This window comes from Homo sapiens, chromosome 2, assembly GCF_000001405.40.
Source record: "Homo sapiens chromosome 2, GRCh38.p14 Primary Assembly".
NCBI classification, from domain to species: domain Eukaryota; kingdom Metazoa; phylum Chordata; class Mammalia; order Primates; family Hominidae; genus Homo; species Homo sapiens.
The window spans coordinates 8,597,025-8,613,917 of NC_000002.12; the positions used below are offsets into that span (position 1 = coordinate 8,597,025).

Below are 16,893 nucleotides of genomic sequence, written 5' to 3' on the forward strand. Positions count from 1 at the left end.
ATATGTGTGGGGTGTGTGTGGTGTGGGTGTATGTGGGGTGTGTGTGTTGTGTGCTGTGATGTGTGTGTGTGATGTGGTGTGTGTATATGTGTGGTGTGTATGTGTGGTGTGGTGTGTATGGTGTGTCTGTGGTTAGGTGTATGTAATGTGCATGTGTGGTGTGGTATGTGTGTATGGGTGGGGTATGTGTGGGGTGTGTGGTGGGTGTATGTAATGTATGTGCAGTGTGGTGTGTGTGTATACATGTGGTGTGGGGTGTGTGTGTGTGGGGTGTGTGTTGTAGGTGTATGTAATGTGGGTATGGTGTGTGTGTGTATATATGTGGTGTGTATGTGTGGGGTGTGTGTGGTAGGTGTATGTAATGTGTGGTGTGGTGTGTGTGTATATGTGTGGTGTGTATATGTATGTGTTGTATGTGTGGTGTGTTTGCATGTGTGGTGTGTGTGCACTCATGCACACTTACACAGTGTGTGTGAGCATGTTGGCCCTGTGTGGCTCTTTGCGTGTGAGTGTGTGCCATGTGTATGAGCGTGTGTGTGTGTGTGTGAGCCTGCTACCATTGTGCCTGTGATATGCTGAGGAAGCCTGCAGAGAGCAGGACTGGGGTGTGGATTCCAAGTCTTGGCCAGTGCACAGCAGGATGGGGACCAGGGAAACCCCTCTCCTGAGCCTGTGCCCTCTCGAACATAGGGGCAGGTTCGCAAGGACCAGAAGGGATCTGCCTCCCATCTGCCACCGCCCCATCAAAGGCAGAGCTGAAGTGAGATCAGTTGGGTTAGGGCTCCACGGAAAACCAGGTAAGCCCCAGGGACCACAGGCCGACTAAGGCTGACAGCAATTAGCTGATTAGTGAGGGGCAGAGGGCAAATCCAGTTCCACAATCAAGGACCATGAATGCAGAACTGTCAGTGGATCCCATGGGGGTGGCGCAGGGGCATGGAAATGCCCTGGCTCAGGACACGGAGCAGCCAGGTCAGAGCCCAGCTGAACTCTTAGGAGCTATGTGACCCTGGGCTGTTCACTCACCCTCTCTTGGCCTTATTCCACTCGCACACTCAGATGCTATTATAACAAGCAGTCCCTGGACAGCAGTCAAGTCCACAGAGGGGCTCTGCAACCCATGACATACTACTCAATTGCTAGTTTCCAAAAAGTACCTGGGGGCTGATCCAAAATGTGGGAATGGCAGGTCCCAGCAGAGAGAGAGAGGCACTGGTAAAGCCGGGAGAGTGAGGCCGCCAGGCATCACCAAGGGCCACACGAACCAGGGAGGAGTGACAGAGGCAGGAGAGGAAGCTGGGGGACAAGGCCCAGCAGAGGGCCCTTAGGCTAAAGGAGGCCGTTAAACAGAGCAGGAGATGGGACAGTCAGCACTGGGACGAGACATGGGGGCTGACTTGGAGACAGTGAGACCTGATAGGAAGACATCACGCAGGAGTCCTGTTGCATCACTGTGAGTCACTCTAGGAGGATTATGCAACATATGATGAGTGTACAATATTAGCCGGGCGTGGTGGCTCACGTCTGTAATCCCAGCACTTTAGGAGGCCGAGGCTGGTGGATCACTTGAGGCCAGGAGTTTGAGACCGGCCTGGCCAACATGGTGAAACCCCATCTCTACTAAAAATAAAAAAATTAGCTGGGCATGGTGGCACGCACCTGTAGTCCCAGCTTCTTGGGAGGCTGAAGCATGAGAATCGCTTGAACCTGGGAGTCAGAAGTTGCAGTGAGCTGAGATCGTGCCACTGTGCTCCTGCCTGGGTGACAGAGAGAGACTCTGTCTCAAAAAAAAAGAAAAAAAGAAAGAATATGCAATGTACAGTGAGTATGAAATATACGACGAGTATGCAACATAAGATGAATATGCAACATATGATGATTATACAATGTACAGTGAGCATGCAATATACAATGAGCATGCAACACATGAATATGCAACACTTGAGTATGCAACATAGGATGAATATGCAACACATGAATATGCAAAACATGATGAATATGTAACATGAGTATGCAACATGATGAATATGCAACATATGGACATATACAATGAGTCTTCAATTATGATGGATGCAACATGTAAATATACAATATATGAGTCTGCAATATACAATATACAAGGAATATGAAATATGAATATGCAATGGATGAGTATACAACAGATGATTAGCATACAACATGTAATAGACAAAATGCAATGAATATACAACACACGGTGTGTATACAACATACGATGAGAATACAACATGCAATGGCTCTACAATATAGAATATAAAATCCATGACGAATATACAATATACAACGAATATACAATACACAGTGAAGGCCTGAGCCCAGGTGGTGGGAGTGGGAGCAGAGTAGAGGCTGGAAAGGTCACTGGGGAGAATAACCAGGACTGGGCTGCAGGAGGATGTCGGGCTTAAGTGACGGCGACTGGAAGCAGGACTCTCTGCTCTCTAGTTTGGGAGACAGCCAGGGCTGCGGCGCCATCTCCAAGACGAGGAAGATGTGGCCTCTAAGAACAATTAAACCTTTCTGGAAACGTTTCTACCACTTCCTGGAAGCCTTCCGAGGATCCCACCTCAGTCTTCCGGCCGCCGGTCCATCACTGGGGCTAGAGGATTTGAGGAAGCCTCACCTGCATACAGGTCAGCTGGTTTGTAGGAAAATATCCTGCCCATGTCCCCTCCGGAGGATTAACCAGAAAAAGGCATGTCTGCTGCCCCCTCGGGGACGCTGGGGCAGCTTGGTGGGAAGGGTTGGGTTCAGAGGGCTAAAAATGGGCCACAGGTGCTCCTAGAGGCCACCATGTGGGAGAAGCCAGACCCAAGTCCACTGGGGCAAGGGGAGGGCCTGGGCGCAAGCAGACACAAAGTCCAGAAGGCAAAGGCAGGGGCACAGGTGGGAGGAGCCCAGGGTCTGAACCCCGGTGAGAAGGCCAGACGGTCAGAGAGGGAAGGGTCTGGGGCAGGCCCACCATGCCTGTCCCTTCCCAGGGAGATGCCACCCAAAGGGGCGGGGCTTGCCCCTGGTGCCCCAGGTGGAAAGCCCCAGTCAGAGCTGCAGGAATCCCATCCGGGCGTGACTTCAGCACTGCAGCCCCTCGGCCCAGCACTCTCCACAGGGCCTCCTGCACACCCTCTGAACAGAGGCCCAGGACGGGGCCCCTTCCACAGCCAGGCCCAGCATCAGCAGCCCGAGAGAATGCTATGCGTTCCCAGCAAGTGGGGAGCCGCCCCTGGCTTTGGATAACTTGTCCCAAAGCCCCTTGCTTTCTGACAAGAGTACCCCGCTCCAGCTGTGCTCGGTTTTACCTCCACAGTTCTCCAAGCCCTCCAAACTCAGACCCTCCCACCAAACCCATTTCCTCTCGAGGGTCTCATGGTGGTGGTGAGAGGGCTGAGGTCCCACTCTTCTAAGGAATAGAGTGCAAACACCCTTCTGGGCCACAACTGCCTAAGGTCGGCTTCACTGGAAATGATACAACATTCGAGGCCCCCAAAGTGCTCTGACGCAGTGGATTCTTGATAAAGGTCTTGGAGAGTGGGTCCCCCAGAGCCGAGGGCACCCCCTCTGAGGCAGGCTGGACCCATCCCACGCTGGGCTCAGAAACCTTCCTCCAGACAGTGCTGCTGAGCCTCGAACCCAGGCAGCCGAAGCCATTACATGAGAACCGTGGGCCTGGGCCCGGTGTCCACTCTGGGAAAATCCACAGAGCCATGGCCGTGGTGACAGGCAGCCACCCACAGCCACCGCAGGGACGGGAGGGGAGCAGTTATGGGCTGGTTACAACTTATGGTCACAGAAAATAAAACGGGGAGACGTCCAGCTCTGGGTGGAAAAGCCCCATCTTTTTAAGCCTGGAAACTATGCCATGTCTCCACGTGCGTATTAAAGATTTCCCAATTCGGAAGTCACTGAGCACCAGTCCTTCTAATAGAGCCTCAGATAGATAGTCTGTTTTCTTGAAGATCAAGTTTGAAACTTCACTCTCTGGAGAAAAGAACAGGATATACATGAAATCCGCAGAAACACAAAGAACCATCCTTCAATGTAAACTTAAAAATTACAAAATAGAAGTAAAATAGGAAGTAACTTTTCCCTCCCTTCACTCAACCACCATTCACCTGAAATCCTTGCCGAAACACTTCAAAGTGTGTGGGGGGGCTGGAGGCAAGTTGCCCGGATGCGGGACCCTCATGCACTATGAAGGGAGTGCAAATTGCTACAGTCCCTTCCAGAAGCGACAAGACAATATATATATTCTCTAAATATTCTAGCCATTTCACCCCCAAATCCCTCTGCTGGGAACCTGCCCTAAGGAAGCAATTCAAAAGATCAAAATCGTATGCACAAAACATGTTCACTGTGGTATTCCCTATAAATTAAAAGTCAAATGCTACAGCCATAAAAAGGAACGAGGTCATGTCCTTTGCAGGGACATGGGTGAAGTTGGAAGCCATCATCCTTAGCAAACTAACATAGGAACAGAAAACCAAACACTGCATGTTCTCACTCATAAGTCGAAGTTGAACAATGAGAACACATGGACACAGGGAGGGGAACAACACACACCAGGGGGTGTGGGGAGTGGGGGGAGAGAGAGCATCAGGATAAATAGCTAATGCATGCGGGGCTTAAAACCTAGATGATGGGTTGATAGGCGCAGCAAACCGCCATGGCACATGTTTACCTATGTAACAAACCTGCACATTCTGCACTTGTATCCCGGAACTTAAAGTAAAAAAGAAATAAATAAAGTCAAACGCAACTTAAGTATTTAACATCTGGGCATCATAAGTAAATTATCTTGCATCAAATCAATATAATATTATGTAGTATTTAAAATTGTAATTATGCTAAGTATAGTAACAAAGAAAATAACTTACAGAAAATATCTGAATATTGGACAAGGTCAAGAAGGCACTCCCCCAAAATGAAAGTCATTTATTTACCTTTGTATCTAACTGTCCTTCACTTTATTCCAGAAAATTCTCAGGGAACCCTTGTACACATGCTTTACTAGGATGCTGGAAATGGGGTTTATTCCTTTAAAAACATTTTTGACAATTTATTCTGAGAAAATTATCATGCACTCATTGCTGTACTGCTACTATTTTCTAAATGGGAATAGCATAAATGTCCAATAATAAGGGATTTAAAAAATAATAGATACCCAAACAATGGAATATTGTGCTACCAATCAAACTTATGTTGTAGGAGAATAATGACATCAGAAAATGTTTCTGATATATTAAATGAAGTAAATTACAAAATCGATTTTAAAGATTAGTTTCTGTTTTTTAAAAGGTATATATTTTTAATTTTAATTCCTTAATATTTTTCTTTTATATATAATAAATGTTAATTCAAAATGGAAAAAGTGTTCCAGAGCTGAGCCTGATAATTTAAGAATAAAAATATCCAAGGGTTAAGAGCTAAAACTATAAAATTTTTGAAAGAAAACATAGTTGTAAATCTTTATAACCTTGGATTAGGAAACAACAGACATGTGACAACTAAAGAAAAAATATTAGATAAACTGGAAAGAGAAAAGACATGGAAGAAAATTTTTTCAAATCATATTTCTGATAAGGGCCTAATATCCCAAATCTATAAAGAACTCTTAAAATTCAACAATAAAAAGACAACAAATCCAATTCAAAAATGGGCAAAGGATTTGAATAGACATGGTTCCAAAGCTGTACAAACAGTCAACAAGTGCATGAATAAATGCCCACCGTCATTAGTTATTAAAGGAATATAAAGCAAAAACCACAAGGAGATACCCCTTCACACCCGTTAGGACCACTTAAAGAAAGAAAGATATGGTCTATCTTGTAATTGTCTGACAAGTTTAGTTAAGGAAGATGTGGAGAAACTAGATCCCTCCTGCATTTCTAGTGAGAACGGAAAATGATGCAGCCACTTACCAAACCAGTTTAGCAGTTCCTCAAAAAGTTAAACATAATGTTACCATTTGACTCAGCAATTCCACTGCTAGGTATGTACCCAAGAGAACTGAAAACATATGTCCTCCTCTTGTGAAATTCCACCATGGTGTACCATGGCCAGGGCCAGAAAGTGCAAAGGGTTATGGTGCAGCCCATCAACCTCATCTTCAGATACTTACAAAATAGATCACGGATTCAAGTGTAGCTCTATGAGCAAGTGAATATGAGGATAGAAGGCTGTATCATTGGTTTTGATGAGTATATGAACCTTGTATTAGATTATGCGAAGAGATTCATTCTAAAACAAAGTCAAGAAAACAACTGGGTCGGCTCATGCTAAAAGGAGATAATATTCCTCTGCTGCAAAGTGTCTCCAACTAGAAATGATCAATGAAGTGAGAAATTGTTGAGAAGGATACAGTTTGTTTTTAGATGTCCAATATGAACATTTATTCATATTGTTTTGATTACCCTTATGTTATTACAAGATGGCAATAAATGCTGTGGGATTGTTTGTACTAAAAAAAAAAAAGAAAGAAAAAAGAAAACATATGTCCTCCCAAAATTTGGTACAAGAATGTTTATGACAGCATGATTTATAACAGTCAAAAAGGGAAGGAGGGCTGGGCGTGGTGGCTCACGCCTGTAATCCTAGCATTTTGGAAGGCCAAGGTGGTGGATCACCTGAGGTCAGGAGTTTGAGACCAGCCCGGCCAACATGATGAACCCCCCCACCTCTACTAAAAACACAAAAATTAGCCGGGCTTGGTGGTGGGCACCTGTAATCCAAGATGCTTGGGAGGCTGAGGCAGGAGAATCGCTTGAACCTGGGAGGCAGAGGTTGCAGTGAGCCAAGATGGCGCCCATGCACTCCAGCCTGGGGACCAGAGTGAGACTCTGTCTAAAAATTAATAAAAATAAAAAAGAGAAGCAACCCAAAAGTCCACTAACTGATGAGTTAATAAATAAAACATGATATATCCATATCTATACCATGGAATATTATTTGCCAATAAAAAGAAAGAATAATTAACGCATGCTACAACATAAACAAATCATGGAAACATTATGCTCAGTGCAAGAAGCCAGACACTAAAGGTGTGCATTATACTCTTTCATTTGTAGGAAATACGGCAAATCCGTAAAGACAGAAAGTAGATGATCAGTGGTTGCCAGAGGCTGGGGGAAGAGGGAATGGGAAGTGAATGCTAATGGGTTTCCGGGTTTCTTTTTGAGGCAGCAAAAATGTCCTTGAATTAGATAGTGCTGATGACTGCACACCTTTGTGAATATACTAAAAACCACTGGGCTGTACTTTTTAAAGAGGTGAATTTTATGACATATGAATCATATCTCAATTTTTAAATTATGGCAAATATATACAATAATGCACCACATAACAGTACTTCAGTCAATGTCAGACCACATGTACCATGGCCATCCAATGAGATTATAATGAAGCTGAAAAGTTCCTGTCTCCTGGTGGTGATGCTATAGCTGTCATCATGGCATTAACCCAACACATTACTCACGTGTTTAATGTAAACAAACCTACTGCGCTACCAGTTGTATAAAAATCTAGCACATAGAATTGTGAATAGTACATAATACTTGATAATGATAATAAATGACTATTATCATAATATAGTATGTTGTACTAATTTATGTACTTACTATATGTTTTATCGTTATTTTAGAGTATACTGCTTCCACCTTTTTTTTTTTTTTTTTGAGACGGAGCCTCGCTCTGTCACCCAGACTGGAGGGCAGTGGTGCAATCTCGGCTCCCTGCAACCTCTGCCTCCCAGGTTCAAGCGATTCTCCTGCCTCAGCCTCCCAAGCAGCTGGGATTTTAGGCACCCGCCACCACGCCCAGCTAATTTTTGTGTTTTTACTAGAGAAAGGGTTTCACCAGGTTGGCCAAGTTGGTCTCAAACTCCTGACCTCAGGTGATCCACCCGCCTCGGCCTCCCAAAGTGCTGGGATTACAGGCCTGAGCCACCGCACCCTGCCTCCTTCTACTTATTAAAAAGCAAAAGTTAACTATAAAACAGCCCCAGGCAGGTCCATCAGGAGATATTTCAGAGGAAGGCATTGCTATCATACCAGATGACAGCTCCATGTGTGTTTCTGCCCCTGAAGACCTTCCAGTGGGACAAGATGTGGAGATGCAAGACAGTGATATTAATGATCCTGACCCTGGGTGGGCCTAGGATAATGTGTGTGTGTTTTAGCTTTTAACAAAAAAGTCAAATTTTTAAAAATTTTTAAATAGAAAAAAAACGTATAGAATAAGGATATAAAATATTTTTGTAGAGCTGTACATTGTGTCTGTGTTTTAAGCTGTTATTACAAAAAAGTCAAAAAGTTGAAAAAATAGAAAGTTTATTAAGTAAAAATGTTACAATAAGCTAAGGTTAATTTATTATTGAAGCAAGAAATTTTTTTTTATAAATTTAACATAGCTGAAGTGTACAGTGTTTACAAAGTCTACAGGAATGTACACTAATATCTAAGCCTTCACACTCACTCACCACTCACTCACTCACTCACCCAAAGCAACTTCCAGTCCTGCAAGCTCCATTCACGGTAAGCATCCTAGATGGGTGTACTAGGTTTTCATCTTTTATGCCATATTCTTACTGGACCTTTTCTATATTTATATAAACACTTATTCATACCATTGTGTGACAATTGCCTAAAGTATTCAGCAAAGTGACATGCTGTTCGGGTTTGAAGACAAGGAGCAATAGGCTACACCACATAGCCCAGGTGTGTAGCGGGCTCTGCCAAAGGTGTGTGTGACTGCTCTGGGACGGCCTCACCATGGCATCACCTAATGATGCATTTCTGAGAACGGATCCCCGTCGTTAAGTGATGCTAACTATACTTACGAGTACATTGTGATGAGTCATTATTTACAGGTCATTTTAAACCCAAACAGTGATTTACAGGGACTCTATCTCCTAGAACTTTTGAATTTCCTACAGACAGTCACAAGAAAAACATTAAGATGAACTTAGAGAACAAGCTGAGTGCTTTCTCCTTGCATTTCATAACAAAAGGCAATGTTCATAGGGGGATTTCAGATAGTGTGTTGATTTAGGGAGAAAAATCACATTGCTTGAAGAATTCAAATCAAACTATAGGTTCAAATACTCTACTACCTAATCAGAGATTTCTATTTACACCCAAATAGGAACGGTCAAACCTGAATTATTATTATTATTTATCATAAACCTAAAGTCCCGGCTTGAGTAATTCATAGGCACAAAGTGTGGCAGCTACAGTCGCCTATATGTCCCGCCAGTCACTAAAACAGGCACAGTTCTTCATCCACACGCCATTTCCTCTCTGCCCTTCTTTGTACCAAAGATCACTGTGTCCAAGAAAAGCATTCTCAGGAGGCCCGAAACTGTGCTGTGGGCAGAAAATCAGCTTTCTGAAACCCTGAAGCTACTACATGTTTGCTCTTGGTTGAAACTGTGCTCTGAAACCTCCCCGTAAAAGCTTCCACTGGGCCTGGGCCCTAGAGAAGGTGATAACATGTGGAGGACTGAGGCTTCTTCAGATGAGGGGAAACAGAGTCTGTGCAGGTAGACGACATCTGCTTCTCCCTAAGGCGCTGGGTTCTAACTCACTCTCCCTTCAGTTTAACCCAGAATGAGTCCCAGGAGCGAAGCCCTTGCTCCAGTCATCTTAACACCAAGATGACAGGGGGAAGATCAGAGGTGGGAGAGACAGTCAGGAGCCCTGTCCAAGAAGTGCCCTTGGTAGAGGGTCCTGCAGACCTTGGACCACCCGGGCATGACACCAGTCAGCGCCCCACAGGCAGCTCTAAAGGCCTGTGTTCTCTCTTGGGATGGGCTGAAACTCGTTGCACTGTCACTTTGCACACAGGTCCAAGCTTTATGCTACAAAGCAGCATGCAGACCAAGCCTGCCTCAAGTTCACGTGAAAGTCCCTCAGATTCATGAATACATCAACCCTGTCTAGGCCATTGCTTCAGGGACACTGAGAACAGATGAAACCAGGGGGTAGAGATTAAAAGACACCAAATTCCAACCTTCATCTTCGTCTCTGAGTCTGTCACTTAGGCCCAGAAAGTTAAATTCTCTGTTGCCCACAAACAAAATACTGAGTACCACTTCCTCCCCAGGATTAAGATGAGAAACGCTTTAAGGGAATCCCCGTAAAGCACAAAGCAAATCCATTTTATTTTAAGAGAGAAATTCCTAGCCGGGTGAGTCCAGGTTTTTGAGCCTCACGGCGACAAAGGCACATGGCAATTGCTTTCTCCACGTTTCTCCTCCCACCTTGCAGATGCCAAGCGTGGGATCCTCTCTCTCCCTGTTTAGCCCTTCCTCGTGTTTCCCAAGGAAGGACCTGCTCAAGCCCCACCGGCAATTGCACCTTGCATAGGAATCACCCGCAAAGGGCTTTGAGAAGGGACTCGGGCGGCAATGATGAACAGAGCACGGGGATGAGCCTCACCTCAGACACCCTCGCAGGGACCTCCAGCAAGTTCCTTCTCCCAGGCATCCTCAGTGTCCTCACCTGTGAAAGGAAAAGGCTGGAACCCATGATCGCTGAGGTCCCGTCTGTCTTGATCTCTTCTGCCCAGCTCTGCCTGCTGTTCGTGAACTCCTCAACCAGGTCTTAGAAGTGCTGAATACTTTAAATGGTAAATCATCTTGATTGCTATCAAAAATGGGTTTGGCCGAGCTGAAGCTTATTACTGGTCCCATGAGGAATTGCCTGGCCAAATGAACAATGATACAGCAGCTTTGTTGATTTAGCAAGACATTCTTTTCCTTTATTTCCTGTAAAGAAAAAAAAATGCCATCATAAATTCAACTCCTCTGACTCTGCCGGCCACAAACCACTCATTCCACTGTGAAATGCTTGTTGAAACTATGACGTCGTGTAATTCTGGAGGGAAACTGAGGACACAGCTGGCTACAGAGAAGGCCCCACATCTTGGCCAAACCCATTTTTTATAGCAATCAAGATGATTTACCATTTAAAGTATTCAGCACTTCTAAGTCCTGGTTGAGGAGTTCGCAAACAGCAGGCAGATGATGATACCTCGTGGCTGAGGGTCTAGGGGCTTGCGGCCTCAGGATTGAACTGAGAGTTGTAGCAGAGAGATATGGGGGGGGGAGGGGCGACAGCTCAATGTGGGGGAAACACCCAGATATTAAAGCCAGAAGGACCCAGCCTTCATCTCGATTCTTTGATGGCTAGCGGTGGGGCCCTGAGTACTCAGGGCACATGAGCGGGAATTGCTGCCAGGAGCTCCAGGGCTGCCAGGATGGAAGCTCTTCCATCCTAGGGCCCTATTTCAAAAGTAATTTTAAAAAAAAAAAACCCCAAAGCCAGTATCATGATTGACTGAAATTAATCACATCACTCCAAAGGCATCTTCCACCAACACTGGCCCTCTGTCCTGGTCTGAGAGTGGATAGCGGTGGAGTGATCAAATGACTCAGGTTGGAAGTTGCAGGAAAAACCCCCTGAGTGAGCAGTATGGCCAGGGCGGTGGGTCAAATGAGAGTGGCACTCAGAGCAGAGGCTGTGCACACTTACCCATCCATCATTTATTATTTCTTCATCCAACCACCACTCACTGAGAACTTCGTCTGTGTGAGGCCCTGGGGAACTACAATGAATACAATGTGGCTTTGGTGGTTGAAGCTCACAGATGAAAACAGAATGCTGGTGTGTCTACAAGGAGCCGATCCTCTTACAGATATTGTTTCACTGAATTTTATCATCACTTTGAGGTCCGTGTTATAATCTTCATTTTACATCATGAGGTTGTTGAGAAGCATTTGAGGTTGAATAATTTAAGTCACTGTCTTAGTCAACCTGGGCTGCCATCACGAAATATCACAGCCTGGATGCCTTGAACATCACAACTTCATTTCCTCTCAGTTCCAGTGCCAGCAAATTCAGTGTCTGGTGAGGGCTCTCTTCCTTACTCACAGATGCCACTTTCTTACTGTGTCCTCACGTGGCAGAGAGAAACAGCCAAATCCCTCTCTCCCTCTTTTTATAAGGCCACCAATCCCACTGGATTAGGACCTCTCCCCTATGATTTCATTTGACTCCAATTACCTCCCAGAAACCCGTCTCCAAATATCACCACATTTGGAGTTAGGATGTCAACATAGAAAGCTGAGGGCGGGGGCACAATTCAATCCCTAACAGTCAGTCAGTCAGTCTCAGAACAAGATTTAAAACTGGATGCATCTGCTTCCAAAGCTGGTGTCCGCTCTACTCTACTACCCTACTCTACTCTACTCTACTCTACTGTACTCTACTCTACTCGCTGCCTTCTCCACGCTTACCACTTGCAGGTTATAGACCCCTTGAGAATGATTTGGGGGGACATTCTTGGCCCCCAGCCTTGTGCTGAGTATCACCAGCTCTTTGGGCAGTGCCAACATTTCAGGATCGGTGGGCACCCCCTTCTCACTTGTTGTTGAGGTTGATGTCCTATATTAATTTTAATGATTTTGCCACATTCACCTCCAATTGTCACCATTTAAGCAAGAGCCTTAAACAGGTGTTCCAAGGTCACATGCGTTTGGAATTTGTTTCCCTGCCCTTTGTCCTGGGAAGATATCCACCTCTGGGGGGAAGATCAAAGTGCAAATTCCTGACTGCCTCTCCTCGTGACAAAAACCACATGCAGAATGCCATGCTGATAGGACAAGTGTGGTATGCAGCTGGAGAGGCAAGTCGGCTGAAAAAGGAGACGCCTCTCCTCCCCCTTCAAGGCCCAGCCTGAAGCCATAAAGATCTTTGGTGCTTTAACTAGGATTAAGAAAATTCCAGGCGGAAACCAACAGTTGACTTCTTTGGGCTTTCTCTTGATTAACTCCACATAAACCAAAGTTCTATGCCTTGTAGAATTCCAACTATGGATATTCTCAATCAATCTACTATTTCCCATGACAGAAGCAGGTATTGGTCCTTTGCAGACATTGAAAATAGGCCAAACAGAGCCTCGAATAATTTGGCCTCATGGGGCCACAATCCATCTCAGTTTTTAATGCATGTTTCTCTTCAGCAGATTGTGCACGAATGATTTTACTAATGAGGTAAGGAGGACACACCTCAATAAAGCCAAGTAATTACTCTAACTCAAAATACTTGCACAGCACCTCCAATATGGATTATAAACTAGCATGTTCAGATAAACTGAAGCCCACTCAGCTTCTGTGTTGGATGTGGAAATCCTCCAGCATTCAGCATGGGCATGCACAGAGCCGGACGCAGGGTTTTTTTGCAAGAAAGTCGTGAGACATGAAGACTGTAAAACAAGCCTAGTTTCTGGGATACAGAAGTACAGACCATCAGTTTGTGTTTGTCCTCGAGTCTTTGTCTTCTTATAACTGAAGGGCCTTGGACAGGTGATCCCCATGAGCCCCCATCTCTTCAGGATATTCCTCATGTAAAACAGAAGTAACAAGATGGATCTCGCAGTACAACGGAGGGGGTTAGAGTAGATAAGGCGTGCAACAGTGCTGTGAAATCTGTAAAATCCTACAAACACGTTGATTACAAAGATGACTGTGCTAAGCTCAAGAATAGCTACATGTAGTATTCCCAACAGGAAACTCCCCCCAATGTCCAGACACGTCCAATCTGACCCAAATTAATGGATTCTCAAAGAGAATGTAATACTAGCTGTCATGTATTGTGCACCTAGCTCTGTGCACATAGACCTCATTTATCCCTCCCAGCTGCCTCCTGGGTACCAATATTGCAATTTCATGGATAAAGGACACTTAGAATCTGGAAAGTTCAGCTGTCTGCATGAATTAGTCCATTTTCATACTGCTGTGAAGACATATCCTAGACTGGGTAATTTATAAAGAAAAAGAGGTTTAATGGACTCACAGTTCAACATGGCTGGGGAGGCCTCACAATCACAGCGGAGGTGAAGGAGGAGCAAAGGCACATCTTACATGGTGGCAGGCAAGAGAGTGTGTGCCAGGGAACTGCCCTTTTATAAAACCATCAGATCTCCTGAGACTTATTCACTATCACGGGAACAGCACAGAAAAAACCCACCCCCATGATCCAATTGCCTCCCACCAGGTCCCTTCTAGGACACATGGGAATTACGGGAGCTACAATTAAAGATGAGATTTGGGTGGAGACACAGACAAACCATGTCACTGTGCAAATATGTAGAGCTGGATTTGAAGACCAGTTTCAAGAAGGAGGGAGAAGGCTAAAGCAACTCATTCAAGGTGAGACTATGAAGGGGACCCTTGGTCCCATTGGGGGCCGTGCCTCTCCTCTCCATCCACGCCAGTGGAAGGAAACCAGCCAGGTCCAATACGGCTATCGTGTGGCAAAGCAGAAGGCAGAGCTCCGGGGAGAATACCAACCCTACCACACTGCTGCCCGATTGAGGATGGGCTAAGGGCCTCTGCTTCAGGCTTGTTTTTGAAGCTCCCACAGCCTTGTGTGACTCTTGGGATCCTGGAAGTCACAGATGGGCTCCTGGCTGGCCAAGCAGTGCAAAGTGCTAGCCAGCCCGCCTTTGTGCCCACAAGAAGAGGGTTGTGCTGTCCTTGATCTTTTTCATTCCCTGGTGGGTTTATTTGGGCTTTGATCTTTAACCAAAGATCAAATCAAGATCTTTTATCAAAGGTGTTTGTATAGAGAGACACCCTGAAAAGAAAATGCCTTTGTTTGATTAAAAAGTATCAGACACCTCCCTTCCCTCAATGAGTGGTCGGGGTCTTCCACCTCGGAACTGAACACACCAGAAAAGATCAAACATTTCTCTGAGGACGTTTCCCACTGAGACCACGCTGCTGTTACTTTCAAACCAAGGAGAAATGTCTAACCTGCCAACAGCGATCATAAAGTTTGTCGTCAAATATTGAGAAACATCAGAGCACACTATGGATGCATGGCCTTGAACGCTGAAAGCCCTTGTGGTGTTGCCTGGGTCACAAAAGCAATATATCTTCCTGGAGTGATGCTTTTATAGGTTACTGCGGAGTTTTCAAGCTGTAAAGGCCCTGGGTAAGCTTGTCTGACCACCCCCCGACCATGTTGGTGATAAGAAAACTGAAACCCAGCGAGCGAGGACTCATCCAGGGTCACGGAGGTGCTGGACGCAGAGCAGCAAGTGACCAGAGCTTCCATTAGGGCCTGTTTGGAGCTGAATTGAGACCCCCAAAATTCATATGTTGAAGTCTTTACCCCCAGTATTTCAGAAAGTCACTGCATTTGGAGAAACGTTTGTTAAAGAGGAGATTAAGTTAAAATAGGGTCATTAGGGTGGGTTCCAATCCAATTTGACTGGTGTCCTTTTAAAAAGAGGAAATTAAGGCCAGGCACAGTGGCTCACACCTGTAATCCCAGCACTTTGAGAGGCCAAGGCAGGCAGATTGCTTGAGCCTAGGAGTTGAAGACCAACCTGGACAACTTTGTTGGACCCCATCTCTAAAGGAAAAAAATATATATACAAATTAGCCAGGTGTGGCGGCATGCACCTGCAGTCCCAGCTACTCAGGAGGTCGAGGTGGGAGAATCACTTGACCCTGGGAGGTCAAGGCTGCAGTGAGTTGTGATTGTGCCACTGCATGCCAACCTGGGCAACATAGTGAGATCCTTTCTCCAAAATAATAAAAATAAAGGAATTAGGATGCAGACACACATGGAGAGAACACCACGGGGAGACACAGGGGGTAAGGCAGCCACCTCCAAGCCACACTCAGAGGCCTCAGAAGCAGCACACCCACCAAAACTAGATCTCAGACTTCCTGCCTCCGGGCTCTGAGAAGCCAGACTTCTGTTGTTGGAGCCCCCAGTCTGCGGCCCTTTGTCAGGGCAGCCCTGAGCAGCAACACTGTCCCCCTCTGCGTCTCCATGTCACGGCAACCACGTGGGGAACAGGGATTTTGAAGGACATCATTTCTGCACACTTACTTAAAGAGATGCTGGCAAAGCCCTTTTCATGAGTAGACACAGTATGGGAGAGTCCCTTTGATGTTGTTTGTATTGCGCAGATAGTGATAGAAGGTCATGGCAATCATTTTCCTGTGTGATCAGTAAGCTGTCTCTGCAACCACCTCCCAAAGAAGCCATTCAGAATAGTTGAGGCAGGGATGAGATCTCTGGAGTAACTGTGTCCGAGGCATGGTGCTCCCTTCCAGGGATAAGATCAAGTTACTTTGTTTGAAAAAATCTAATGAGAGTCTCATGGATTTATTTTCTTGCTTCCTGAACTGAACTGAGAAGGAAACCATAGGGAGGATTTTTTGTTTGTTTTTTGAGACAAAGTTTTGCTCTTGTCACCCAGGCTAGAGTGCAGTGGCGCAATTTCAGCTCACTGCAACCTCTGCCTCCTTGGTTCAAGCAATTCTCCTGCCTCAGCCTCCCAGGTAGCTGGGATTACAGGTGTGCACCACCACCCCCAGCTAATTTTTTTGTATTTTTAGTAGAGATGGGGTTTCGCCATGTTGGCCAGGCTGGTCTCCAACTCTTGACCTCAGGTGATCCACCTACCTCAGCCTCCCAAAGTGTTGGGATTACAGGCGTGAGCCACCGTGCCCGGCCCATAGGGGGAATTTCTAATGGAAGCATGGATGGAAGTAGGCAGAGGACAGAGTAAAAGAAAGCTTTAAAATGGAACTTGCTCATGTGTGTTCAACTGCCTGTGAGTGTCCATGCACTCTGGACCAGCATTCTGGGTTGCAGAGACGGAGATGAAGGTGCCATGTGGCTGAGGGCTGTGGGTCATAGGCCCTGTAGCACAGTAGTCACACATGTGGACTTGGAGCCAACCTGCCTCCACCACTTGGCTGTGTGAGCTTGGGCAAGTTCCTTGACATCTCTGTGCCTTGGTTCCCCATGATGTTACATGGAAGCCCTAGCAGTGCCTCTCACAGGGTGATGTTAAGGC

General features: G+C 45.7%; 1 long non-coding RNA gene and 1 pseudogene across 3 annotated transcripts in view; one reads left to right on the forward strand and one right to left on the reverse strand.

Moving 5' to 3' along the window:
- Positions 1-1,844: 1,844 nt before the first annotated feature.
- LOC105373411 (uncharacterized) overlaps positions 1,845-16,893 on the reverse strand; it is a 57,557-nt gene continuing 42,508 nt past the window's right edge. For 2 of the 3 annotated variants that reach the window (XR_001739274.1, XR_922758.2), the window contains exons 2-3: positions 10,449-10,777; positions 1,845-3,993 (exon numbers count right to left, since the gene is read on the reverse strand). This is a non-coding gene — a long non-coding RNA (uncharacterized LOC105373411). Of the gene's footprint in view, positions 3,994-10,448; positions 10,778-15,730; positions 15,948-16,893 lie in introns of those variants that run through there. The other variant, XR_007086198.1, reaches the window with a different exon arrangement.
- SNRPEP5 (SNRPE pseudogene 5) lies at positions 6,033-6,480 on the forward strand (annotated as a pseudogene).